We start from the raw sequence: 27,948 nt of genomic DNA, 5'->3' as shown, positions 1-27,948 counted from the left end.
TGAGACAATCGCTATTTCAAATGTTTCGTCTCAAAACATATTTTCTGAACTGGTCAACAGGATATGTGGTCTCAGTGTTTAATGCTCACGTTTCATTAAGATATTTCACCATCTACTCAGTTTTCTCTAAAATGTTCATCAGTCCCCGTGCCCACCCTCCACAATCACCCATTTAAAGTTTATCAAAAGATATATTTTTATCCTCCCCTAAGCATATTTCTGAAGGTTCTCTCAAGCATTCAGCTTTGGTTCTGGTGGCACTGTCTTTTGTTTTTTTCTCTTTGCTGCAGATATCGTGAAATGAATAAAAGAAAAAAAAAGGATGGCATTGCGGTTAGAGAGGATAGGAGGCAACTGGAGAGGGGAGAGAAGGGCCATTCTTTTTCAAAAATAGAGAACCATTGCAGCTTTATGGCTCTTAGACATAGAGCTCATCTAAAAAGTGATTTCTAGCTTTGTAGGTCAGGTCCTCAGCATAAGACAATTAGGTGTTTATTCACAACAGATAATTTGTAAACATAGTGTGGCAGATCTTAGAATTGTCTCCACTTATTAAGTGTGGTCCAGGGGGTTGAAATAATTGAGAGTTTGCTGGAAATACAGAATCCCAGACATTCATTGCATTATCCCCACTGAAGAGAAGCTGCATTTTAACAAGATTCCTAGCTGATTTCTATGCATAATAACATTTGAGAAGCATTGGTCTAGAGAACATCCCATTTCACAGATGTGGAAACTGAGATCCAGACAGGCTAAGGACTGTGATCTATATGCAAGATGTACTTTATAGAAAACCTTGCTTTTGAGCCCCGATTTGTGCTCTCTAGAGAATCTTATTCTTGTCCAATCAGAGTAGTTTGGCAGTTCTGAATTTTCTCAGTCTCTTTTGAGTAAACAGTTAATTCAGGATTGTCCCTCTCTCTTTTCTCCTTCCCTTCTATGCAGGGGTTGCTGAGAGACTGGGGGTCTTATCCTCAGTTCTGGAATCAAAGAGGTAGGGCAGAGCTGCCATGGGCAGTTGTGCTGTTTGCCTCTCAAAAGGTGCCTGGAGGCCAGGCACAATGGCTCACCCCTGTAATCTCAATTCTTTGGGAAACTGAAGTGGGAGGATTTCTTGAGTCCAGGAGTTCAAGACCAGCCTGGGCAACAGAGCCAGAGCCCATCTCTTAAAAAAAAGTGCCTGGATCTGGAAGCAAACAAAAGCTGCAGTTCTTCCCTTCTGCTCACCTCTCCAAGTTGGAGCCCTGTGTGGGGTGGTTTCAACTTGGAGGAAGAGGCATCTCTTAGTGATTCCACAAAGGCTCCTGGACAGTATAGCAGGGTCCTGGGCAGAGCTGTTTGGTCCATGGTGGTCGTCAGTAGAGGCCAGCATACATGGAGGTAAAATTCATCTCAGTGTGTGTCAGCTGAATGACTCACTGATTGGAGAAGCCATGAGGGCTGTGCACAGTTCCACCACAGAGCGTGTTACTATTCTTAGGGCCAAAGGACTGACAGATCTGAAAGAATGCAAGTTTCTCTTTCGATTTTGCATTTCTTTACTTCTTAAAATACATCAATATCTTTTTCAAGAGACTTTAATCAACACTAATCCCGATACAAGTCTCAATCTCTTTGAGCAGACAATAGAATTAGGACATTTATAACTTGAACTTAGAGGGCAGAGGTCATCTCCTTAAAGCTCTGTTGTCCACTGCATACAACCACCACGGTCTTCTGGTCCTTGCCAAGCCTCCCAGACCCTTGTTTGATCTAATGCAAGAAGAAGAAAGCTGAAAAGGTTAGCTGTAAATATTGTGTGGGGTTATAGAGTGGTTTCCTTGGTGGAACTGGAAAGATTTGGAATTACATATAAAAATATTTGAGGACTTCAAGCAACAATATTAACATTTTATATGAATTTTATATTAGGGTATATAAAATATTTTATATTTCATGTGTTTATAATGTTTAAGAGAACTGGACTTAGAATAAATGGCCACTCAGGGCTGGGAGCGGTGGCTCACGCCTGTAATTCCAGCATTTTGGGAGGCCGAGGCAGGCAGATCACGAGGTCAAGAGATCGAGACCAACATGGTGAAACCCCGTCTCTACTAAATTTACAAAAATTAGCTGGGTGTGGTGGTGCATGCCTGTAGTCCCAGCTACTCGGGAGGCTGAGGCAGGAGAATTGCTTGAACCCAGGAGGCGGAGGTTGCAGTGAGCCGAGATCACCCCACTGCACTCCAGCCTGGGTGACAGAGTGAGACTCCATCTCAAAAAAAAAAAGAAAAAAGAAAAAAGAAAAAAAAGACTAAATGGCCACTCGTATAAGTCCAATTTTTAAAAATTGAGTAATTGATTTTACCTTGTTATTTTTAAGTAAAAATCTTACTGTTTTATATAGCACTGGAACAATTAAGATAACTTAGGTTCACCATATTTAAGTTTAAGTAGTCCTTCTAAATCTAATAAATTTCTAACTCTGGAAGTTAGAAATTTGAAGTGGACATGAAGCGGAAAGCCTTTAAGTGGAAATAAATATATTAAAAGTATAAATGTCATTTGCAATATTTAAATGTATTTAACTTTGTAAATGGATCACATATTAAGCAAAAATCCCCTAAAAAGTAATTGTTCAAATATAAATGTTTGCAAGACTAGCAAACTTTATTCACAAGCTTCACTTAAAAGCAAAAGGTAGAAGTAGGTTTTAAAATTTGTAATTTTAATCAATCAAATGTTAATTTAAAAATAACAAAGCAAACCTCAGAATAGTGTCACTGAAAAACCACAGTTAAAGGCACTAAAAATGCAGAATTATCAAGGAGCTGGCCCCCATTGCCAATGTCCTTGGTTCTCTCAGGGCTACATCCACACACCCTGTCCCCAGGGGACACTTCCCAGGAGAACTCTTGTGTGCTGTCTCCAACCAGTGCTAGAGTGGTAGGGGTTTTCTGTGGCTGCCCTCAGGCATGTCTTCCTAGATATCTCGTTCAGCCTTTCTCATTCTACCACACTGGCACTGTGGTGGTAAGGAGCTTCTCTGTGGGACTAGCATCTCCTGAACTGTATCTGGGCAGCAAGTCTCAGGTCCCCATCCCTGGCATCCTCCTAGATATGTCCTGGGTCTCGTTCCTTCACTGTCACTGCCAGGGCTTTAACTCAGCAGTGAGTAGAGTTCTCGCACCTTTCTCAGGATGTGAGAACTCAACTCTCTATCTGTCTCCACCCAAGAAAGGCATAGGTCTAGCTCTTCATCTAGTCTCTTTCTATCTATTGTTGAATGCTTTATGCTCTCTTCTTCAAGTTCTGGGTAGTGACAGATTGCATTTTCCAAAGTGGCCACAACAATATCTCTCATCTCACATGGTCGTCTACAATGGGATCTTCCCACTCCCTCGTGAAGAGATGGAGACTAACCCTCCTCCCTTCGAATCTGGATGAATTAGTGAGGTGCTTTGATAATAAAGTATGGTAGAAGTGACAGTGAATAAATTCCAAAACTGAGTCATAAATTGTGATGCAAATTCTGCCTTGTTCACTGGAACACACACGTGGTTGGAATCCTGAGCTGTCATGGAAGTCCGACTGCCCTGAAGCCAGAAATGTCCATGGGAAGATACGCAGAAAGTCCATGGATAGGTGTGCTGGTCCGAAGTCTTCCTGATTGTGTTCTCTCTCCAGGGCTGCTGTAACGAAGTACTGCAAACTGAGTGGCTTGTACAACACTGAGACAAACAGAAATGTGTTGTCTCACAGTTCTGGAGGCTGGAAGTCTCAGATCAAGATGTTGGCAGAGTTGGTTTTTTCTAAAGACTGCAAGGAAAAATCTATTTCATGCCTCTCTCAGCTCTTGGTGGTTTGCTGGCAATCTTTGGTGTTCATTGGCTTCTACTGCATCACCCAGTCTCTGTTTTTTTTTTTTTTTTTTTTTTTTTTTGAGACATAGTCTCACTCTTTCACCAAGGCTGGAGTGCAGTGGCATGATCTCAGCTCACTGCAACCTCCGCCTTCCAGATTCAAATGATTCTCCTGCCTCAGCCTTCCGAGTAGCTGGGACTACAGGCGCTTATCACCAAGTCCTGCTAATTTTGTATTTTTAGTGGAGACAGGGTTTCACCATGTTGGACCAGGCTGGTCTCGAACTCCTGACCTCAGGTGATGTGCCCGCCTTGGCCTCCGATAGTGTTGGGATTACAGGCGTGAGCCACTGCACCTGGTCTCTGCTTTCATCTTTACGTGAAGTTCTCCCTGTGTGTGTGGGCCTGTGTCCAACTTTCCCCTTTTCATAAGGAGAGCGGTCATGGTGTATTAGAGGCCATCCTACTTTAGTGTGACCTTAATCCTAACTTAACTAATTAAATCTGCAACAATCCTATTTACATTAACGTCATATTCTGGGATAATGGGATCTTGGACTTCAACATATGAATAAGGGTGAGTTGGGGGACACAAATTCAACACATACCACCAAGTCAGGTGCCACAAATGTGAATAAACAAGCTTGCCTGTGACTGCAGCCCTCCAGTCATAGGGTCACCCCCTTCCTATGAGTTTTCCCAGTTGGGGCTCCAGGTATCACAGAGCAGAGATCAACTGTCACCGTGGAGTCCTTTCCTAATTTCTGACTGATGAGATCTGCATCAGTATGCTAGAGCTTCCATAACAAAATACCACAAACTGGGTGGCTTAAGCAACAGAAATTTATTTTCTCACAGTTCTGGAGGCTAGAAATCCAATATCAAGGTGCTGTCAGGTTTAGTTTCTTCAGATCCCTCTCTCCTTGGCTTGTAGAGGGCTGTCTTTCCCCTGAGCCTTCCCTCTGTATGTCTATGTCCAAAAAAAAAGAAGAGCAGTCTTATTGGATTAAGGCCCACCCTGGTGACCTCATTTTAACATAATTACCACTGTAAAGACTTTACCTCTAATTATGGGCACATTCTAAGGTACCCCGAGTGTTAGGACTTTAGCATATGAATTTTGATGGAGAGGTCACAATTTCACCTATAACAGGATCTGTGAGCATGATAAAAATAGCCATGGCTTTATGTCATTAGGTTTGCGGATGATTTATCACATGGCTACAATAACCAGAACATAGACTTCGCTAATTCAAAGCTGAGATTTAAAAAATGTTTGTTTTCTCAAGCATCCTTTTAACACGTGTTTGCTATGGGTTTAAAACATTCATTGAGGTAGCTAATTGACTCTTTTTTTTTTTTTTTTTTTTTTGAGACAGCGTCTGCCTCTGTCACCTAGGCTGGAGTGCAGTGGCATGATCTCGGCTCACTGCAACCACCGCCTCCTGGGTTCAAGAGCTTCTCATGCCTCAGCCTTCCAAGTAGCTGGAATTACAGGTGTGTGCCATCGTGCCCTGCTAATTTTTATATTTTTAGTAGAGATGGGGTTTTGCCATGTTTCCCAAGCCGGTCTCCCCAGTTGACTCTTTTGTTCTAAGCTGTATCCACTATCATTGACTCAATCGGGCAACAGGAAAAAAGAAAGAAAGAAAAACATAGTTATTATCTCAAAAGACTATCTGGCTATACATTTACTCAACAATATTCATGGAGCTTCTACTATTAGACAGATATTGCTAAGTGGCCACGAAAACACATAAGGTTCCTGCTCCAGGAAGCTTACCGTCCAGTAGGAAAGGAAAACGTTAGTTAATTGCTACATAACTATACAAGTGCCAAGGACAGGTATGTGGTGTGAAAACATGTAATAGGGATGTGACCTTGCCTGTGATCAGAGGAGACTAACACTGTGGTGGGAGGGAGCATGACCCAAATGCGGGACTGAAACAACGCCTCTGTGGCTGGAGCCCAGAGAGAGTGGCAGAGAGCCTGCAGTGAAGATGAGCAGGACTCAGCCCCCTGCAGGAACATGCAGGCCATCCAAAGAAGCCATCCACTGAAGGATATTCGATTGCATGAATGGGTGATGCAAGGTCAGGGTGCACCCCATGCATTGTGGCTCCCTTTGGAGGAATATGGAGACTGAATCGGAGAAAGGGAAAGTGGAGTAAACAATTCAGTTAAGAGGCTTTAATCAAGATGAGAGATGATGTATTTTCCTCTGGGGTGGTGTCAGCAGTGGAATTAATGGAAATATATATATATGGCAAAATCAATAGGACTTGGTGATGGATTGACTCACAGGAAAGGCAGCTGGTCGAGAATGACTCCTCACTGTCGGCTTTCTCATCTGGGTGGATAGTGGTGCCATTTGTTAAGGTCGAGACCACCGGACCAGGTGTGGGCAGAGGATCATCAGTTCGGATAAGAACTACACAGCCCCACATGGCAGCCCCTGGCTACATATGGCTTTTTACATTTTAGGTTTAATTAAAAATAAATGGAATTCAAAATTCAGCTCATCAGTCACACTTGACACATCTCAAGTGCTCCAGTCACATGTGACTAGTGGCTACCCCATTGGATAGTGCAGATATAGGCTATTTCCATTGTCATAGAAAGTTCTGTTGGTCTAGAGAGACTTAGTTTGAGATACTGCTGAGACATCCAGGAGAAGCTGTCAAGTCAGTGATTGACTCTATTGCTCTGGAGCTTGGAGGAATGCTGTAGCTAAAATTTCATTTCATTCACACACTTTTTCAAGTATTCATTAAGACCTTAACATTTTTGTTTGCTGCTATGTCTCTGGCACCTAGACTAGTATCTGCTGCAAATTCTCCCAGAGCTTACCCTCTAGTAGGGATGAACAGATAATAAACAAATATAGAGTATTTCAGGCAGTAACAGGGAAGAAAGAAAACTAAACCAGGGTTAATGGGATAGATGGTGAGAAGGAGTAAGGGGCTATTCTAGTTCTGGTGGCCAGGGATGTTCTCTCTGACAAGGTGACGTTTGAACAGAGACCTAGAAGTAGGATACATTCCAGGTAAAAGGAAGAGCAGGTATAAGGAAGGAGGTTGCTCATGATCTGTTTGCCTGTACCTGGTATTTGGAGCCACATGCCAGATGTCCTGGCAGAGGGCAGGAAGAGAGAGGAGGAAGAGTCTGTGAACTTACTGGCCGAGTAAGGAAGGGCAGACCTGCAAAGGAGACAGAGAACCGGTGGGAGGAAAACCAGGAGAACGCTGGGCCCTGGAATCCAAGGAGGGAGAGTGTCCTGACAGGGAAGGGGACCCAGCAACTCTGATGCTGCTGGGAGGGGTTGGGGAACTGCAGACTGAAAATGTCCTGGGCCTCCATGGCACAGAGGCCACTGGTGATCTTAGCTCCTGTTGTTTTGTGGATGACAGTGTGAGAGTGTGTGTAAGTGTGGGCGTAAGTGTGCATGAGTGTGCATATGAGAGTGAGTGCATCAGAAAGTGTGTGTGTGTGTACATGGGAGAGACAAATAGAAAGCATAAGGCAGTGTATGAACATGTGTGAGTGTGCATATGACGGTGTGTGTGCATGAGAAAGTGTGTGTGTGTATGCTTGTAAGAATATATGAGTTAGAGTGTGAATGTTCATGTGGGAGTGTGAGTGCATCAGAAAGTGTGTGTGTGTACATGGGAGAGACAAGGAGAAAGTTGAGAGTATGAATGTGTGTATATGTGAGTGTGCATGAGAAAGTGTGTGCGTGTGTGGGTGTAAGAGTATATGGGAGCGTAAATGTGCACGTGAGAGTGTGTGAGTGTTTGTGACTGTGTACGTGTGAATGATGAAGACAGTGTGAGACAGTGTGAGAATGAGTGTGTGTGTGAGTGTGCATGAGTGTGTATGAGAATGTGTGTGAGTGTAAGAATATACACGTGAAAGTGTGCATGTGAGAGTGTGAGTGTGCCTGCAAGGATGTGCGTGCGAGGGTGTAAGTGATAGAGAGACAGAGAGAGAGTGTGAGAGAGTTTGTGGGGAGGGTCCAGGTTGGAACGGGCAGGGGAGGAAAGCTGCACCTGAGCGCAGGCAATTCTGGGGGAAACAGAGATGGGAGAGTAGAGAGGGAAGCTGCTGAGGCGGAGGCAGTGTCCTGGCCAGGTACAGCTCTGCCCTTCAGCTTCCATGGCTCCACGTGGCACCTGCCCCACATCAGAACACCAGCCAGCCAGGCTTCGGTGGGGAGTAAGGTATTGAGTTTCTCAAAGTCATTCTTCTCGGTTAGAAAACAGAAGCAGTAAAGGCCAATGCCCTGTTGGGCGTTTATTCACTCAATGAATCATTGGCAGAGTAGCCGATGGCCTCCTTGGAACACACAATGGTAATAATACTGAAGATTCCTTGTGCCTGGCTCTCTTCCAAGCAGGTACACATACAACACCTTTAACCCTCACAGCCGGTGAGATGGAGATCATCATCTACCCTCCTGACAGTCGAGATGACTTAGGCAAAGAGGGGTGAAGCACCTTGCTCAAGGTCACACAGCGAGTAATTGGAAAAGCTGGGATTCAAACCCAGAGCCTGTGTTCCCAATCATTAAGAACAGGGTCCTGAGAGGAGGCATCAAAGGACAGGTACCACCCATCCACTCCTCAGCAAGCACTTAGTAAGCACCTGCTGATTGAATTGCACCTAGTCCCTGCTCTCCTATGGCTTACAGTTTAGTGGGGGAAACCAGTGCTTAACTATTCTCTGAAATACAGTGCAATAAATGCTCCAGGAGAGAAGAGCTTGGTGTTGTGGGAATGCCAAACCCAGGTACTGGAGCTCAGGGGAGGCTTTCACACGAAGAGATGAAGGAAAAACCGAATTCCAAAGGCGATGTGGAGCTGGCTTACAAGAGGGTGTGGAAGGAGGGGCAGATGGAGCAGTGTGTGCTGGGGCCAAGGGAGGGGAGGCAGGAAAGTCCAGAACTCCCAGGCTCTTCAAGGACATCAGTCGTTTGAAGTTCCAGCCCACCTGGCAGCTGGAGGCCACTGCAGCTGACAACGGGACTGGTAGGCGAGGTCAGGAAGCAGTAGCACCAAAGCAAGTGAGTGAAGTGCCAAAGACAGACCCTGGGCTGCCTCACAGTGACAAAGACTCTGACCTTGAGCAAACTCTAGTCAGGCTCTTCTGAGCCCTCTTCTCAGCCAGGCCTCAGCCTTGCTCTAAAACACTTGCACAATCGCTAATAAGGTTTCCAATACCTCAAGGCCACATCCCCAGGATGCTCCTACCCCCTTAAGGATGCCTGCCTGAGAAAACTCAAGGCTGCCCAGGGGGATTTACTGCTTGCTCTAGCCCACACCTGGAACTAGCCTGACCACTCTTTCGTAGAGCACTTACTAAGAAGGGCAATTTTGAGTTCTCTGTAACCTTTGAGATGTATATGTATCTCCTACAACCCAGGAGTGTGTTTCTCAAGGCCCTGAAAGCTATTCCTTTGAATGTAATCATCAGGAAGGGTAAGGACCTCTGTCTCCCAGTCTCAGAGAGGATAGAATCCTAACTTTCCTAACTGCCAGCTAGCAGGCACAGCTGGTCTGATTGCATTTATACTGAACAGCCCTTCGTAATTTTTCACTTCCCTGACCCTACTGGTTCTGTTTGCCCTCCTTCCTATTCCCTCATTCTTCCCTAAAAATGCCTAGTCTGGCCAGGCATGGTGGCTCACACCTGTAATCTCAGCACTTTGGGAGGCCCAGGCGGATGGATCACCTGAAGTCAGGAGTTCGAGACCAGCCTGGCCAACATGGCAAAACCCATCTCTACTAAAAATACAAAAAATTAGCCGGGTGTGATGGCAGGTACCTGTAATCCCAGCTACTCAGGAGGCTGAGGCAGGAGAATCACTTGAGCCTGGGAGGTGGAGGTTGCAGTTAGCCGAGATTGTGCCATTGCACTCCAGCCTGGGTGACAAGAGCAAAACTCCGTCTCCAAAAAAAAAAAAAAAAAAAAAGTCCAGTCACCTCTGCACAAATTGAAGCTGAGTTCAGTTTACATTGGACTCTTCCCTATTGCAATAGTTATTACTGGTTAATGTCTGTCCTTACCACTTTAGTGTCTGGCTTTGTTTCGCTTGGACAGAATCAGATGAGAAACCACCAAACTCACTGGGCTGAATTATTTCAGCTTATGGACAGCCACAGACAGTGTGAGTACCTGTTCACACAAATCCTGAGGCCCAGCACACACTGGGCCATTCACAAAGCTCATTCAACCCCCCACGGCCCTGACACCACCAGTTTTACCTCTCTGTAGAACAAGAAACTGCTGACTCACTGAAAACAGAGCGCATTTATAAACAGGAAGCTGAGTATGTGACCACAGACATTCAGCATCTGATAGCAATTGCTGAATGTGGCAAAAAAAGAAAAAAGTTTGAACAAAAAAAAAATCTGTGTCACTAAATAAGAACTCTCTAGCTCATGGAAATACAATCCTGCTATTTGATCATTTCATAAATACTTAAATAAGGGGAGTTCTCATTTGGCCAAACCTAGGCACGCTTCAAATATTTACTGAGGCCTTCGAAGGGTGTGGTTTTCCCTTTTTTTCTTTCCATTCCCTCCCAAGCAGAGCAAAAAGGCTCCTTGGTGAGGCCTTCCTGGCCTATACAGAAGAGATTTGTTTTCTCTTTGAGCTCTGATAGCCTGACCGTCCCACATCAGACCTCTGTGCTGGTGCAGAGGAGGGCTCTGCCAGGAGGGCTCCCAGAGAGATGCACAAACACTGGCGGGTTAACACTCCGACATGCAGCTCTTCCTACAAAGCATTGACTGGATGGTACTGAAGCTAAAAAATGGAGACTCACTTGTATCAACCATAGTAAAGAGCCTGTAAGAGGACGCAGTTCCCCCTGCTTTCAGCAGCAATGAAGAGGCTCATTTTCCTTGGAGTTTCTTTGTTGTTGGGGGGTTGGTTTCTAGCAAACTGACCCAAGAAGGCTAATGGCCGAGGAAAAAACCAGGTGATTATTTTCTAAAAGATTATCTTCTGGGAGTCGGTGCCATTGCTGCCTTTGTCATCAGGGTAAAGGTATCCCAGTGATGTATGGAATCTTTCCACTTCTCTTCCGGGGAATTGGGCATGGATAACAATAGCACAGTGCCGGGAACATAGTAAATTCCTAATAAAGAGTAGCTAAGTGTTTTTTATGCAGAGTTTTGTCTAATCTTCACAATAACCTTAGGAGGTAAGTATTGGCAATCTGATTGGGTAAATCAATACTGAAGTCTCTACAGGAGCAGCATATTTGGGAGTATGGTCCAGGTATGCCTGGTTTCAGAATGCAGCCATTTGCCTAACTTATTGCTGACATTTTCAAGCAGGATGTGTCCTTTATATTTATACTGAATTAATTGGACATACTGATATTCAAATATACCTACAAAGTAGAAAATCTTATTTGGTAATTCATCATCAGCTTCTCACAGAGCAGCAGATAGCACTTGTTTTTCTATTATGTACCAAGAAAATTCTGTGTTGGAATTTACAAGTAGCAGTGGTTGTGTCAAAATGCCTCAGACAACATATTAATGATGCTCATAGTAACTAACTTTTATGGAGTGTTTCTTGTGTGCTGGATGGGATGTGTAAGTGCCATGATATTCAACATAGCCTCAACACAACCCCTGTGCTGTCATTGTCATTAGCTCCAATTTACAGATGAGGAATCTTGAGGCTCCAAAAGACTGTTTATAAGCAGGCTGACTCTGGAGCCCCTGCTCTTACCCATTATGCTGCTCTGTAAAAAGGGCTTTAGCTAGAACACTCCTTTTTATTTCTGTAAAGAGGAGACTGCTGTTTCTTCTGTTTTATTGGAGTCTGGAGAAAAATCTCCTTGAGCAAGGATGATTACTATGGCTTAGATTGAAGCTTCCAGAAGTAGACCTTGACAAGGGCTATGTGCACGTGAATTGTGAAGGAAGTGCTCCCATAGGAAGTCCAGGAAAGAGCAGGAAAAACAGGACAGGAGCCGGGAGCAAACCAAACAAAGGTGTGATGTCAGGCAAAGTCCTGAGGAGGGAGGCCTGTGCCTGATTCTACAGGGGAACTCCAGGGTAAAAATTCTGTCTGAGTTCGTCCAGATGCAAAAGTCAGCGAGGCTTTGAAGTTCTCTAGGGAAGGGCTGCCCAGAGGGCATGTAAATTCTCAGGCACTTCCAACTTTCCAGCCACAGGTGCCAGTGGACCTAAGGTTATCTTAAAAGAGAGTTGCAAGTTTGAGCCTTGGAAGCAAGCCACAGAAACCCGGAAGGGTGCACGGAGCTGGAAAAGAATTGATATGGGTTGCGTGTGGGTGGAGCACCCCCAGGGGCTGCTGCATCTAGTAATCATAAGTCAGGAATTCGTTTTGCTGAATCAGAGCAAACTCCATCTAGCAGAAGCAACACCAAAGTGTCTCTTTCCTGTAGGTAAAGCCTAAAGATCAACAATTTGGGGCTGTATGGTGATTTATTTCAGGGGTGGACAAAACATGCCCCATGCCAAATCTGGCCCCAGGGTCTTTGTATAGCTTTGGAGCTAGGAATTATTATTCCTTTTTTAAATGGCTGAAAATGATGAGAGATTCTACTGTTTCCTTGCATAGAATTTTAAAAAAAGAAAATTATAAGGGATTCAAATTTCAATGTCCATAAATAAAGTTTTATCGAAAAACAAATTGGAACATTAGAAACTCATTTATTCTATATTTTCCATGGATATTTTCACTCTCAAATGGCAGAATTGACTAGTGGTGACAGAGACCTGTAGGGTCTACGAAACTGAAGATTCGGCCCTTTAGAGAAAAAGTTTGCTGGCCCTTGTTCTGCAGGATCAGGAAGCGGGGCTTCTTTATTTTGCGGTGCCACATCCTCAACACGTGCTTTCAGCTCATGGCCCAATATAGTTACTGAAGCGCCAGCCACCATGTCTGCCTTCAAGCCAGTGCAAAACAGAACAAAGAATTCACTTCCTCCCTTTAGGAAAACTTCTAAGAATCACATTCCTCACTTCTGCTATATCAGGCCAGAACTTAGTCTCCTTATCATACCTGTAAAACCTTACTCCAAAAGCTATGAGGCCAGCAAAAATTTGGAATTCCTTTGTTCAGGAAAAGTATATAAGGAGACAATTTCTAGCTCTGCCTCACCTAGTTAAGAGTTTCAAAACAAGGAAGAATGGTATGTAATAATATAGGCAGGAATAAAAACTAAATTGTTCTAATGTCTCACATTTAAATTACAATGTAATTTATGACAAACAAATTACAATGTTTCTTTTCTCCATCAAATTTTCCATTTCTCTTAGTTTTTAAGGTAGCCTAGGAAATTAGTTAAGTACCCTATTTTCCTTGCTTGTATCCAGGTCTTTGTTCCTACCAAGAAGAAACAAATTACCAAATAAAAAGGTTAAAAAGTGTACTTCTCCGAGCATTACCACAAATACTAAGAGGGAGAAGGTGGCATAACTGCTGCCTCAGTTGAAGCTCTCACATTTTTCATTCACACCATTGTGACAGCCTATCTTGCAGCCCTCTAATGGAGAGTCCAGACTTCTTGTCTTAAACCTCCACCCTTTGCACATCTGCTCACATTGCTGCCTCCATCTGTCTACATTGCAAATATCACCATGTTGCTTCCTGTCTGCATCCAACATGTGAGGAGGAGAAAGCCCAACTCTCCTGCGTGGCCTCCACGACCTGCCTGATGCGTGGGCATCAGCTCCTGCTGGTTGCACCTTGCTCTTCATAGTCCACAGACCACACTCCAGGCAGACACCATTTGCAGAGCTGTTTCAGCCCCTAAGTCAAGATTCTGGGGAACACAGGAAGTCCACTTGCTGGAATCCCTAACGACATCAGCCCCTTGTTCTCACCAGTATCCCTGTGACAAACACCCCTGTTAGCCTAAACCAGTGGTTCTCAACCAAGAGCAATTTTGGCAACACTTTGGCAACACTTGGCAACATCTGGAGACTTTTTTTTGTCTTGACTGAGGGAGGGGAGAGTGTAACTGGCATCTGGTGGGTAGAGGCCAACAGTGCTGTGTGGCATCCTGTGCTGCACACGAGACAGCTCTCCCCCAAAAGAACGATTCCGCCCAAAATGTCAGTAGTACTGAGGTTGACACTGGCCTGTGCTAGCTCAAAGGTTCCTGTGATTTTTAACAAACACACCTTACCAAGCTCAGCTGTGTCCCACAGATGCTTCCAGCTTTTCAGCTCAGTGGGGGGCGTGGAAGAATAGATGGAAATGCCACACAGTGTGGGTGCATGATGTGGGAAACATTGGGTGCTGGGAGCCCCAAATCCAGAATAATAAACTCAGAATTGTGGTGGCGGCGGAGTATAGGTGAGCAGGAACACTTTCAAAAGGAAGTGGATGTACGCTATGATGTACTGGAGGAGTTGGAGTTAGCCAAGTGGAAAGGGAGGTGGCTTGTTCTAGGAAGATGAAAGGAGTCATACCCAGGGCCTGGAGGCCAGCACGCTGGAGGCCCCCAGGGATTTGAAGAAAGCTGGTGTGGTTGGCACCTAGAAAGTGACTGAGTGAGCAGAGAGATGAGGGTTGGGAGGAAAGCAGAGACCAGACTACAGACAGGTAACTGAGCTTGTACTTCCTTCGAGGGCAAGCTTAGGGAACCCAGGGGAAGTCCCTGGGTGTTTCTCCCCTGGAATCTGCTGAAAGATGGGGAGTAGGTGGCACGGGGGAGGGATGTGGAGAAAGTTGGGCTTTGTTCTCCAGTCTTCTGTCCCTCCTTTGTGAGGTGTGTAATTCTCGCTATTTACAGCAGTCAAGTAACCCTGATTCCACCCAAGAAACCCCCTTTCACGCATACTAGTTTGAGTGGGTTTCTTTTTCCATCAAACAAATGAGCTCTGATCACGAAGGAGCCTGAAATCCGGGAGAAAAATCTAAATGAGAGATTCTGATGACAGATGATGCTTAAAGCCAACAGGAATGGATAAGAATCCTCAAGAATAGGCTAACCTGTCAAGATAAGAGGACTTGAGCTAGAACCCCGAGGAACGTTTCCACTTAAGGAAGTGGCAATTGGAGGGAAATCCAAAGGGCACTAAGGCAAACCAAAGAAGCAGGAGAAAGATTCGGCAGTGCAGTGCCATGGAAGACAAGAGAAAGAAGGGACAGAGAAACAAGGTAAAATGTTGCAGAGGGGTTGGGAAAGAGCTGAAGAATGTTCCATCAGTATTAGCAACAAGGTCATTGGTGGCTTAGATGAGAAAATGACAGCAGAATGATGACCACAGAGGTCTGGTATCGATGAGTGGATGCATGCATGGGAGATGAGGCAGTGGAGAGAGATGGGTGGAGGACACCACTGAAATTTGGGAATGGAGATTCAGAGACAATATCAGTGTCCTGGGCTGCCAAAATGAAGTACCAAATACTGAATGGCTTATATAACAGAAACTTGCTGTCTCACAGTTTTGAGGCTAGAAGTGTGAGGTCAAGTCAGACTTGATCTCAGATTTTTGAGAGAGAAATTTGTTCTAAGCTTCCCCCCTCACTTCTAGTGGTTTGCTGATGATTTGGGGTGTAGCTTGGCTTATGGAAGCATCATCCCAATCTCTGCCTTCATCTTCACACGGTGTTCTCCCTGTGCGTACGTCTGTGTCCACATTTCCCCTTTTTATAAAGACAACAGTCCTATTGGATTAGAGCCCATCACGATGACCTCTTTTTAATCTGATTATCCTATCTCCAGATGGGATCACACTGTGCAGTCCTGGGGGTTAGGACCTGAACTTTTCTTTTTTGAGAGACATAATTCAACCCATCATGGAGTCTATGATTTTTTTTTAGTTATAAATAGAATATATGTTCACTGTAAACATTAAATAATACTGATGTGTCTACAGTTAACATCAGTAAAATTTTCAAATTAGGTTAAAAGAAAAATATATGTCCTTGAAGAATGAAAGAGAGTTGGGGAAGTAGAGAGGAGGCAGGTCTATGGAAGGTCTAAGTTGTTTGTTTAGTTCAGGATGAAAGAGACTTGAACACGTGGAAACACAGGAAGGAGCCGTGGGAAGGAGCCAGGAGAGAGAGAGCTGTTGAAGACTGAAGATACTGATAGTATGTTTGGTGTGGTGTGGGGTAAGTCGACTGTGTGTGTGTTGTGTGTTGTATCTGTGGGCAGGGATCTTGGCTGTACCCAAAGAGAAATCTAGAACTGACCTATCAGGTTATGTGGGGCTGGCTCTCGGAAGTGTATTTGCATGAGTATTTGTGTAGAGAATGGGGCTGCCAGGAGGGAGTTGTATGCAGGGATGCCTGTGGAGTAGATTGGTAGAGAAAGGACAGTGAAGAGAATAAGGACAATGGTCACCACTGGCTGCTCCCCAACCTAGCCCCATGGAGAGAGGGGCTAGACCCGTAAGCCCAGCAGCCTGGTTTTAAGAGGCTTTGTTATATTTCATGGGGTTTAGGCATAACTAGTGCCACATTCAGGCCCAAGTGACACTGAATTGGGAAGAGAAATGTTTCCTCCACTTCTTCCTGGAACTCAGCACAGCTTAGTCACAGTGAGGGCTCAGGGGCTGGCTCCTGTCCAGCGTCAGTTGAGAGGACAGTAGATCCAGGAAGCAGGACTCTAGACCAGGGCATCTACAGCTGCAGAGGCCAGGGTGCTCTGAGACAAGGATGAGATGAATCCTCACAGGCTTAGGGAAAGCAGACACTGAGGAGGAGGCCAGACACAGACATCATGAGAGGACTGTGCAGCAGCTCACTGGAGCATCTCAGGCACCCAAGGAACTCGTGGAAACAACTGTGCAAGGCCCAGGTGGAGGAATAGAGAACCTGCAGTTATTCTGGAAGTAAGCTAGCCATCAGCAATCATTGGGTATATTAATGTTTTAATTTAATTTAATCTTAAGTTCTGGGATACAAGTGCAGGACGTACAGGTTTGTTACACAGGTAAATGTGTGAAGTATATTAATGTTAAATGCCCTGTATCTACCCACATTTTATTTTAAATGTCAGTGGTGTAAATATTTATATATTAAAACATATGACACAAATTCGTTTGAAGAATTTTGGGTAATAGTGTTTATCAGGGAACTTATATTTCATGCTTCCATAAGAAAGAAAAATTAACTTTTTAATGTTATTAGAAGAATCATGAAAAGAAGATTTGTTAAAACAACAACAACAACAACGGTGAATATATCATATTTATCTAAGCTGAGCCATCAAAAATAAATGTTTTTCCATCTATCAAATATAGGGCTAATGCCTACAGTGGCTATTACATATGTGCCCATGGAGACTTGGACAAAATCTTCCTTGCAGTATAGATTGTTTCTATTATATTTCTTGTTGCTTCAAAAACAAAGAAAAAACAAACACCACTGTTCTCGGTAAGCAAATGAGTAAATAAACTCATTTATTCATGTAATAAAATACTACAGAAAGTTAAAATGAACAAACTTGATCTAAATATATTAACACAGATAAATGTCAAAACATGTTGGCAAGAAAAGCAAGTTACAAAAGGAAATGTACCATATGGTTTCTAGTATTTGTATAAATATTTAAAGCACACAAAATAACAGTATATATAATTTATGGACATGTCTATATAATATTAACATAAGTTTAAATGTACATACATGAAAAGAAGCATACTAACTTCAGGGTGATGGTTACCTCTGGAGAGAAAGGTAGAGGATGAGATGGGGGTGCTTTATCTGTGCTTAATGCTTTCTGCTTTTTAAAACAGAGAAAATTGATTCTAAGGCAAGTAAAGCAAAATGTTAATGTCTGTTAATATGGTAGGTTGGTACATGAGTGTCTATTAATAATTTTGGTACTTGGCTGTGTATTTGAAATGTCATCATTTAACATTTAAAACTTTAATAAAAAAACCAGACAGTATCACTGAACAGAAAAGCACAACAAAAATGTTTTCACTTAATTTTATTGTTTTAAATGTATTCAGTATGTAAATATAGTAAATATTATAATGTCAATTTTATTATAATATAGCATATAGCATATCTGTTTTTGTGTGTATCTCTAATTATAACTGTTCTTAATACATTTTCCCCAAATTCTTGTCCATAAACAGCTGCAGATGACTTTCTTGTCACCTTGTATTTTCATTAAGTGTGATCAGTGGGCTTCTATTCTTCTAAGTTATAGTCACAGTGACTGACAAGGCTAATTGACTCTGTTATCTTGTCTTGGTAAACGTAAGTGGGTCTGCTCGTGGGGAGTCACAGTTGTGTGCCTGAACAGTCAGAAAAACCTTTGCTGGAGACAGGGCAGCCACCAGCTGCAGGCTGCCAAGGAGGGCCCCTTGACTTTCGATCTGTAGTTTCTGAACAAGAAGGAAGGCTAGGAATGGCCTCAACAATGCTCTTAGCACTCCTAATTCTGTCTAAGACTTTGAGAGGACTTTCCTTTATTGTTTGACTTACGAGCAGGGGTAAAAAGTGATGGACGATAGAAGTTATGGGAGCTGTGCCTCCTGGTCCAAATTGGTAAGTGTCTTTATATGATGTCTGTTGTAGTGTAAGGCTTAAAATAACAATGATGTGCTACTTTGACATCTAAACTGGGAGGGCCTCTGATGTCCTAACTGCATCATCCTACACACTTCGCTCCTACTGATAAGGTGTCCTAGCCAAACAACCCTCCTTATTACAAGGACAAGGCACAGTGCCTGCTTATCCCTGAGTAGTAGACTTCAGTTCCCTGCCAGCCCACTGAATTATTCAAACAAGCCGATCACATCCATCTGAGAAACAAGGAGTCACTCCATGCTCTTGCTACTATAAAGCCTGCTTTCCACAGGGTCTGCTTATTCACTCTGTTCCTGAGCACATCCCCATTCAGCCCTGCATGGTGCAGTATCTTCCTCTCCTCCCCTGGACTGTACACTACTGTCAATCTCATCTGTCCAGTATTAGATGTCATATCTTGGGCCATCCCCATAACCGTAGTGTGGAATCCCTCCCTAGTCAATGGGATGAAGAGGAGACAATCAAGGTATCTACATATTTTACATTTTTCCTCTCAGATCAATTAGTACAACTGCATGAGATTTTTTACATGTCTTTTATTTCCAGCCAATTTACTTTGGTCAGGAGAATGGGAATCCAAAAATGTACATGCAAAATGTGTTTCATTATCTGTTGCTAGTTGAAAATTAATCAATAGGTTTTTGCTTTGAACTTTCTATTAGTCATAGGTAAAGTGATTGAAAAGTGAGGGAATAGGGTGGCTTGACAAAGGATAGAAACCCTCGGTCAGAAGCCAGGGCTCCCTGAAGATCATTCACCAAGAATATTCAGAAACTGAATAATGGTGACAAGAATGTCTCATCACATGATATAAATGTGAACAATACCAATTAAATACTTTATAACCAGCCCAACATATAAATGATAAAGAATCGTCACATCACGAGCATTGTCAGTGATCCTGCCATGATGTCACTGTGATCGCCTGCTCTTTGGTGCCTCGTTGGCCACAATGATATCACTGAACAATACATCACAGGCTGCAAGATGTGGCAGATCATTCCTCAATCATTACCCTTATGTGACTTTTAAAAAAGATCAATCTTTAAGAAAATCAGTTAGAATGTTATATTTTAGGGATGTTTCTTGTGTTTTGAATCCTTGATATATAACACTTCCTTTGAGTTATTTTAGTAATTTCTTTTGTGGCCTTGGACAGTTGCAATCGCAATTTATGTTTCAAAAGTGCTTCCATATCTGCTTAATTCATTCTGACATCATAGGTGAGTCTAGACTTATAATTTATTCACACCCCAAAATAGTGATAGTAATAGAACCTAGAGAGGTTAAAATGATTTATGCCCCAAGTTTACAAAGTCAGATGTACACATTCTTGACTGAAAGAGATTTTCTGATTCTTAAATTCAGTGTTCTTTCTACTACTCAGATTATTTTACATTTTACCTCTTTATATTTCAGTTCTTAATAAATTGACTAGACTAGCAAACGTCTGGGAAAAAATGGAATGTTGAAGCTTGAAAGGGGCTTTAGTGATGATCCCAAGTGTCAAAGCATATAAAAGAAGGAAGAAATGAGGTTTATTGGATAATGACTGGGATTGAGGAATATTAATAAAAGCACATTGTTGATTTCACAGTGTTCTGTCTGATCCATTCCTATATGATGGATAACATTCTCAAACTATACTTTGTTCCATCCAATATGCTTAAAATACTTTTCACACTGAAGTTTTAATTTGCAAAGTGCTAATTAAACAAAAGTTAGCGCTTGGAATGGCTTTATGGTTAAGAAAGCTGATATGGATTAACTCTGCATTAAAAATAGAAAAATTAAAATAGGATGGAGTTTTAGAATATACTTGTTCCAGTTCAGCTGGCTGATGAGGCTTCATCCTTGTCCCATGCAGTGCTGGAGACAGCATCTTTGGTATGTATTCTCAGCTGGTACTCTTCCCCTTATGTCTTTCTTGGGCACTGTCGTAGTCCATTTGGGCTCCTGTAACAAAATACCACAGACTGGGTAGCTTATAAACAATGTAAGTTTATTAATTACAGTTCTAGAGGATGGGAAGTCTATAATCAAGGCACTAGCAGATTCAATGTTTGGTAAGGGCTCACTCTCTGGCTCATAGATGGTCCCTTCTTGTTGTGTCCTCACATGGTAGAAGAGGCAAACAGGCTCTCTCAGGCCTCTTTTATAGAGGGCACTAATCCCATGTATGAAGGCTCCAACCTTATTACCTAATTATCTCCAAAAGATCCCACCTCTTAATATTATCACACTGGAAATTAGATTTCAACATATGAATTTTGAGGGAACACAAATATTCAGACCATAGCAGGCACGAAGGGGCATCAGATGCCCATGGGTATCCTTCTAGGACTACAATGAAACTCCTCAACAACACTACACACAAATCTAATTCAGAGCTCTTAGGATATTATAATTCCAGCTGTTCATTTAAGCTGGCTGATGGCACTCAACTGCTCAGTTAAGACAAGCTTAGAGGAGGAGAAGAGTTAGCTTCCTTTGCCTTGGGTAGTCTGTATTCTTTGCTTAGTATAATGAAGTCAAGTTTTCTGTCTTCTAATTCCATGACAAGGCTTGCCATCATGATTGCTTCTATTGAAGTAATTATAATGTGTCCTAAAAAGACTTATGTTTCTGAGCAAACCAGAATAAAAGGAGCTAGATTTACTGTCCTACTCAAGACAGCTTAAACTCTGAACAAAAATATAGAAAACAATGGCACTCAAGATATTAGACATCAAGCAATGAAGGACAATGATCACTGAAAGATGGGAAACAAATCAGATGAACCAGATAATTGCCCAAGAAACTTTCTCTATTGCATGTGAGAAGTTTCCAGGTTGCAGCGCAGGGAGAGAGAACCCAGGAAGAGCCCAGTTGTCTCACTGAGTTTAGGAGACATAGCTCAGAATCCAGGAAGCCAAAGTGGCTAGAATTTACAAGGCAGAATACTGGAAAGAAGAGAGCTCCCCAGAGACCCAACTCCAGCGATGTGAAAAGAGTCCTCCTAGAGTATTCAATTGAATGCATGTGTGTGAGGAAACTACCCAAGGCCAGGGAAAGACCCATCTGAAAGGACTAAAGACAGCAGTCCTTAGACTTCACAAAGCCTGAGAAAAGTGCCAATTCCCAACAGCCTGAGTGGGAAAGATCTAACAATTTGGACAGAATTAGAGTATTATAAAGGATGTTGCATCAGTAATGGGGAAAAATTGACCCTAAGTTAGATGCAGCTCTGGTTGAGCCTAATGATAGTCAAAAGCAAGGCCTGAAACATAAAATAACTTAACTGCATCCAAAAGAAAACTCAAGAATAATTACACAAATTAAAAATATCCAGCACCCAACATAGCCAAATTCACAATGTCTGTCACTCTATCAAAAATTACTGGGAAAAAAAACTAGGAAAATAAGACCCATAATGTGGAGAAAAGGAAGTAATCAAAACACACCCAGAAATGCCACAACTGGTAGAATCAGTAGACAAAAACATTAAAACAGTTATTATTAATATATTCCATATTTTCCAGAAGCTAGAAGACAGATTTAACATGTTAAATGGAGACATGGAAGATATACAATAGACCCAAATTAAAAATTCAGAGATGAAAACTATAATGTCTGAAATTAAAAATAACCTGAATAGGATTACTAGCAGATTTGACATTGTAGAAGACATCAGAGGGGATTAATAGACTTCAAGACAAAACGAACTATCCAAAATGAAAGATGGGGAACAAATAACTTAAAAAAAACCCCAAAACAATAATTGAACTCTGGCGCAAATTTAAGCAACCAAATACATGTGTAATTCAAGTCCCTAAAGAAGTGGTGGCAGGGAGGCTAAATAACCATTTAAAGAAATAATGGTCAATATTTTTCCAAATTTGATGAAAGCTAAACCCACATATTCAGAAATCTCAACAAACCTCATACACGTGAAATATGTGATGAAAACTAAACTTAGTTAGGCACAGTATAATTAAATTGCTTAAATCCACTGATAGAGATAAAATCATAAAAGCAACCAGAGAAAAAGACATGTTACATACAGCACAAAGATAAAGGTGACCTCAGATTTATCTTTGGAAACAATGCAAGCTAGAAGACAGAGGAACAACATGTTTAAAGTGCTGAAAGAAAAACAAATACTATCAACCTATAATATTTTTATTCAGTGAAAATAACTTTCAAAAATGAAGGCAAAATAAAGGCTTTTCCAGACATACAAAGCTGAAAGAATACATACTGGCAGACCTACACTATAAGAAATTTGAAAGAAAGTTTTTATGATACCATATGGAAACCTAGATTTACATAAAGGAAGGAAGATCACCAGAAATGATCACTACATGAGTAAATATAAAAACTTTTTCTTATTATTTAAATGTCTTTAAGAGGTAATCCACTTTTTAAAGCAAAAAAAAATGTATTGTGAAGTTTCATTTTTGCTTTAAATAATGACAACACATTTTGAAGTTTATAACATACATATAAGAAAAATGTATGACTGCCCTGGCACAAAGCTTGGAGGGGAAAAATGGAAGTATAATTTTGTTAGGCTCTTATATATGTGAATGAGTATAATATTACACAAAGTTAAAATACATAATAAAAATGTATAATAAAAGCTGTAAAGGAACACAGCAAAGAATTTCATTTGATAAACCAACAAATAAGAAAAAATAAAATTATTAAAAATATTCAGTTGAAGAGAAGGTAGAAAAGAAGGAAAAGAGACAAAAAAAATCAATGGGTCTAAAAGAAAACAAATAGCAAGATGGTAGACTTCAATTCAATTGTATTAGTAATCACATTAATTATAAATGGTCTAAACATTCCAATTAAAAGGTAGATTGCTAAATTGGATTAAAAAGCAAGCTCCAGCTGCTGGTGATCTCCTTGTAGGCAAGGATTCATGTCTTCTTTAACTTGGTATTTCTTGAATATAGAAGAGTGCTAGACACATAAAGCTCAATAAATGTTTGTAATATTAGTACTGTGATAACATTTACTTATTCAGGCAAGGCTTTGCAAATATAATACGCCATTCAAGGCTTACATCAATCCTATAAGATAAATAAGGTATGTATTTTCCCCATATTACAGATGAGGAAGTGAGATAGAATAAATAATTGCCTACATATTAGGCTGCTGAGTTATTAATTCTATTTCTGCACTAAATTCTGATCATAATTTAGGGATGATTCAGTTTCCAATCATTAAGGTACTCCATGAGGCAGATGGTGCTTCTTATCTATAACTTCCATTTTTAGGTATATGAGATCTGAATAAGCTTCTAGATGAATTTCTGGAAGTGTCAATTTAAGAGTTACAAAAAAAGGAGACATATATTGATATAAATTCTTGGTTCCAAAGATGATAAGTATTTTTAAATTTTTCTCCCTATTTCATATGACCAAGCTTTTGAGTCTCATGTTGCTCCAAATAATAGATTTTCAAAATCCCTGAGATATTAATTCTTCTACCATCAAATATAATGGTGAGAAAACTACAATAGCATCTATAAAAATGTAATCCACCATATTAGGCCTAAGCACTGTAAACAACATATAATTTCTTTCCTCTCACATGTATATTTTTCTTCTGAAAGTTTCATTCTGAAAGATAAGATTTCCACTTCTCTACACCTGCATTCTTTTTTTTTTTTTTTTTTTTTTTTGTTTAGTAGAGGTGGGGTTTCACTGTGTCAGCCAGGATGGTCTCGATCTCCTGACCTCGTGATCCGCCCGCCTTGGCCTCTCAAAATGCTGGGATTACAGGCATCAGCCACCGCGCCTGGCCATCTCAGGGTAATCTTTTTTTAAAAAGAATTTTTTTTTAATTATACTTTAAGTTCCAGGGTACATGTGCACAACATGCAGGTTTTATATACGTATAAACATGCCATGTTGGTGTGCTGCACCCATTAACTCGTCATTTACATTAGGTATTTCTTTTAGGGCTATTCCCTCCCTCCCCCCACCCTACGACAGGCCCCAGTGCATGATGTTCCCCGCCCTGTGTCCAGGTGTTCTCATCGTTCAGTTCCCACCTATGAGTGAGAACATGTGGTCTACACCTGATTCTTCATATGGAGTTTAATTTTTGAGGTTCTCTTATGGCCAGAAGTTAGAAAAACTATTTTCTTAATCTTTGATTCTATAATCTGCTTTGAAAGCAAGAATAATACCAATGTGCTTCACAAATTCCAAATTGTGACTGAGTGTTCTTTAGATTTATTTAGGTCCTCAAATAGCCATTGCCTGCCGGCTCCCGTTGAAATCTGTGATGCTGATGAAAGCCATGAGCCCAGGAAGTGCTGGTCTGGCCAAAAGATGCTGCTGTCAGCAGCAGTGGGGGATATCTGTTGTGCTCATCTGAGTTTTAAATCCTGAAGCTTCTTTAAGTGAAAAGGTGCCAAGGTGCTGGAAAGATTCTTCATTTTCACTCAGTAAGAGGTAGGTTCTATAACTATTTTTTTAAAAACACTTTCCAGCCTGGCTGTGGTGGCTCACGCCTGTAATCCCAACACTTTGGGAGGCCAAGGCGGGTGGATCACCTGAGGTCAAGAGTTCAAGACCAGCCTGGCCAACACGGAAAACCCTATCTCTACTAAAAATACAAAAAAAAAATAGCTAGGTTTTGTGGGGGTGGGGTGGGGGGGGGGACCTGTAATCCCAGCTACTTGGGAGGCTGAGGCAGTAGAGTTACTTGAGCCTGGGAGGCGGAGGTTACAGTGAGCCAAGATTGCACCATCTCACCATTGCACTTCAGTCTGGGTGACAGAGCGATACTCTGTCTCAAAAAAAGAAAACAAAAAGAACAAAACAAACAAACACAAACAAAAAAAAACACTTTCCAGAAGAAAAGTAGAGTTTCTTCATCATGATGGTAATGTTCTCATTAGTCATATAGATGTGACTGAAGTACGGGAGTTGCAGACATTTTGCCTTTTGGTTACAGAGAAAACTAATAATGAGACCAAAGACTGGAGACAGAAAATAGGGCTAAGTTTAGAAAGAATGGAACCAGATCTTCTACTCTTGGCAGTGCCCTTGCCAGTTCCCCAAGCAACCTTCTTGCTCTCTCCTCAGAACCCCTAGAACCATATGGGGAATGTACACTAAGGATCCATGGTCCTGACCACCTTCCCTCTTCAAAGTCAATGAGTTCAGGGGTCTTATCTCTTTAGAAAGTTGATTTCTATCATGAAAACGACCCAGTTGTCCTTATAGTGAACACATAAACCAGTGATTAACAAATGGAAGTTGGAGATACGTTTGAGACCAACTCACATGCTGGCTTGAAAATTGTATTCTGACTAAACTGATTTACATCTTCTTTTCAAATACCTTTTTATTCATTATCGTATACTCAGCTTGGCTCGGGAATTTAGTGCCAGGCTTCTATAGCAAATGGGAATAGGGATTGCTGAAGTTAATCTCTGCTAATGTGTAAATTAATAAATAAGCTTTTCTGAAATGCTTAAATCTTTTGCTAAAGGCTCCTAAGAAGTGATACTAATAGGAAAGTGCCTATGGAGCAATGCTAAGAAATTTCAGCAAGAAGGAGAAGCTCAGACCTAATGCAAGAGCATGGCAGACATGATTCTGGTCAGTTAAATGCTCAAATTTACTAATGCACTTTCACATGTAGCCAGTTACATTTAAGTGGCTTTTAAAAAAAAATCAATTCTATAATTAAGTTTCACAGCATGAAGACATAAGCTAGTAGTTATGTTTTAAATTAATAAAGTGATGAATTATTGCTTAGAGTGAGCACACCAGGAGAGACTAATGAATGTTTTGTTGAGGTAAACTAGTGTAAAAGGAAAAAGACACAGGACATGGCTTGCCTTGGCTCAGCAAAAAAGGGATCAGGGGAGGCCAGGCTCAGTGTTTGAAGAGTCTTTCATTTCATAAAGGGTTTTAGAGTGCTTAAAGAGAGAAATGCATCTCTTCCTCTTCCTTCTTCCTCCTTCCCTCCTTATCCTTCTTAAAAAAATTGGTCTGTGGTTTTGGACAATTTAAATTTGTAATAACTGTTACAAACTGTAATGTAGAAAAAGAAACAGAACCCAGACAAATTGGTTAATGTATAAATGCATTTTTTGCAATATTGGCTTGCTCCAGTATTGTTTCTGGTGTGGCAAGCCTATGGAGCTCAGTGGGAAGACAAGCTCTTCCTGCTGCCCACACCCTGTTCTCTCACAGACAAAGATCTTGGAAAGGCAGACCTTGGCAGGTGTCTGCTCTGCACACAACGAAGGCAGATGACCTAGTTGAAGTCTGTGGCAAATGCCTTCCAGCAATGCTACCAAATTAGCATTAAAACAAACAAACAAACAAACAAAAACTCTAATTCAATTTTTTTTCCCATTAGGCTGAAACTCTGATCATTGCAAAGCAGATGGCGTAAAGCAATAGAGTAGGAGTGGGATTATTTTCTAGCATGAATTAAATTGCTTATAAGCCAATTCCTAGGTAATGGAAGTCTGTAGAGCATCATCATCTGTTTGTTTGGGATCTGGTCAAGTAACATGCCAACAATGGTATTAAAAAGAAAAAAAAAGAAGCAGTTGATAGAAATCAGGAGGAATAAGATTTCGACACAAAGACTGATGGTCTGTTTAGTGAAATGAAAAGAGACCTGAGAGTTAGAAGACTTGGGCTCAAGTCCTGACTCTATTTACTACTTGCTTCCTAACTGTGCCTTATTAAGCCACTTAATCTCTCCAATCCTCAGTTTCTTCATCTATAAAAATAATAATAATAATGGTGAGTATTTCCTTGGGTTACTGTGAAGATTTCACAACAATTTCTTTAAAAAAAAGCTATTTTGTTGTAATATCGGAATGATTAATAGACACTAATATCTTTGTAAGGCTTTAGTCTTCCTATCTTTCTATAAGATGCCTACTTTAGATTATCTGACCTGAATGTTTGACTTAACCTTTTTGAAAGAAGAGATAAACAAGTCTTGTGATTATTCAGGCATCTTTAGTTTAATGAACTCCTAGATAATTTGGGAAATCACTGCAACTAACTAGCTACTTCTTGTTTGTCTTGTTCTACATTCATTTCCAAGATATCCTCTGTCCAAACTTGGGAAGAAGTCAGAGCTGATAGGGTTTCTTTGTAAACGGAATTGTATTCTGTATAGTTTAAGAGAAAGAGTGAGCAATTAAGCAACAGTAACTTACTCCAATATCTGAGCTGATAAAAACCTCAATAGTAGATGAGATTATGGTCCTCTCATACGCTATTCATTCTGTTTTTACAAGCCAGTGGTTTAGGATGTTCTAAGTCCCAAATGGAGTTGGAATATTATTTTCTAGTGTGTGACTTTCTAGTCAACTGAAGGTATATCTGTATCCCGGAGACTTATTTGATTATTTGGGAGGGCTTATTATAAAAGGATTGCAGAAAGCATTTACACGACTTGCAATTATATCTTTTTTTGAAACGGAGTTTCACTCTTTCACCCAGGCTGGAATGCAGTGGCATGATCTCACCTCACTGCAGCCTCCGCCTCCCAGGCTCAAAGGATCCTCCCACCTCAGCCT

The 27,948-nt window shown here is 41.4% G+C and overlaps 2 long non-coding RNA genes across 3 annotated transcripts in view, besides 2 other annotated features; one reads left to right on the top strand and one right to left on the bottom strand.

The window, feature by feature from the left end:
* Window positions 10,059-10,203: an enhancer, noted in NCBI's record as "145 bp enhancer 222 fragment used in the MPRA reporter construct; PK_construct_3556". NCBI's record gives its function as "activates an SV40 promoter by MPRA in HepG2 and K562 cells {active_cell/tissue: HepG2 | K562}" and the evidence as "EXISTENCE:reporter gene assay evidence [ECO:0000049][PMID:23512712]".
* Window positions 10,126-10,136: a transcriptional cis regulatory region, noted in NCBI's record as "NFE2L2 motif; enhancer activity is reduced when this motif is scrambled". NCBI's record gives its function as "necessary for full MPRA enhancer 222 activity {active_cell/tissue: HepG2 | K562}" and the evidence as "EXISTENCE:site-directed mutagenesis evidence [ECO:0005528][PMID:23512712]".
* LINC02998 (long intergenic non-protein coding RNA 2998) overlaps window positions 10,425-27,948 on the top strand; it is an 84,101-nt gene continuing 66,577 nt past the window's right edge. The window contains exon 1 of the long non-coding RNA NR_104658.1: window positions 10,425-10,824. This is a non-coding gene — a long non-coding RNA (long intergenic non-protein coding RNA 2998). The remainder of the gene's footprint in view (window positions 10,825-27,948) is intronic.
* Window positions 17,217-27,948, bottom strand: part of LOC105378969 (uncharacterized) — a 45,510-nt gene continuing 34,778 nt past the window's right edge. For both annotated transcript variants that reach the window (XR_948330.3, XR_007058769.1), the window contains exon 3: window positions 17,217-20,345. This is a non-coding gene — a long non-coding RNA (uncharacterized LOC105378969). The remainder of the gene's footprint in view (window positions 20,346-27,948) is intronic.

This window comes from Homo sapiens, chromosome 5 (assembly GCF_000001405.40).
Source record: "Homo sapiens chromosome 5, GRCh38.p14 Primary Assembly".
NCBI lineage: Eukaryota > Metazoa > Chordata > Mammalia > Primates > Hominidae > Homo > Homo sapiens.
Note: the sequence above shows the minus strand (reverse complement) of the source record. Positions and strands in the feature narration are given on the sequence as shown.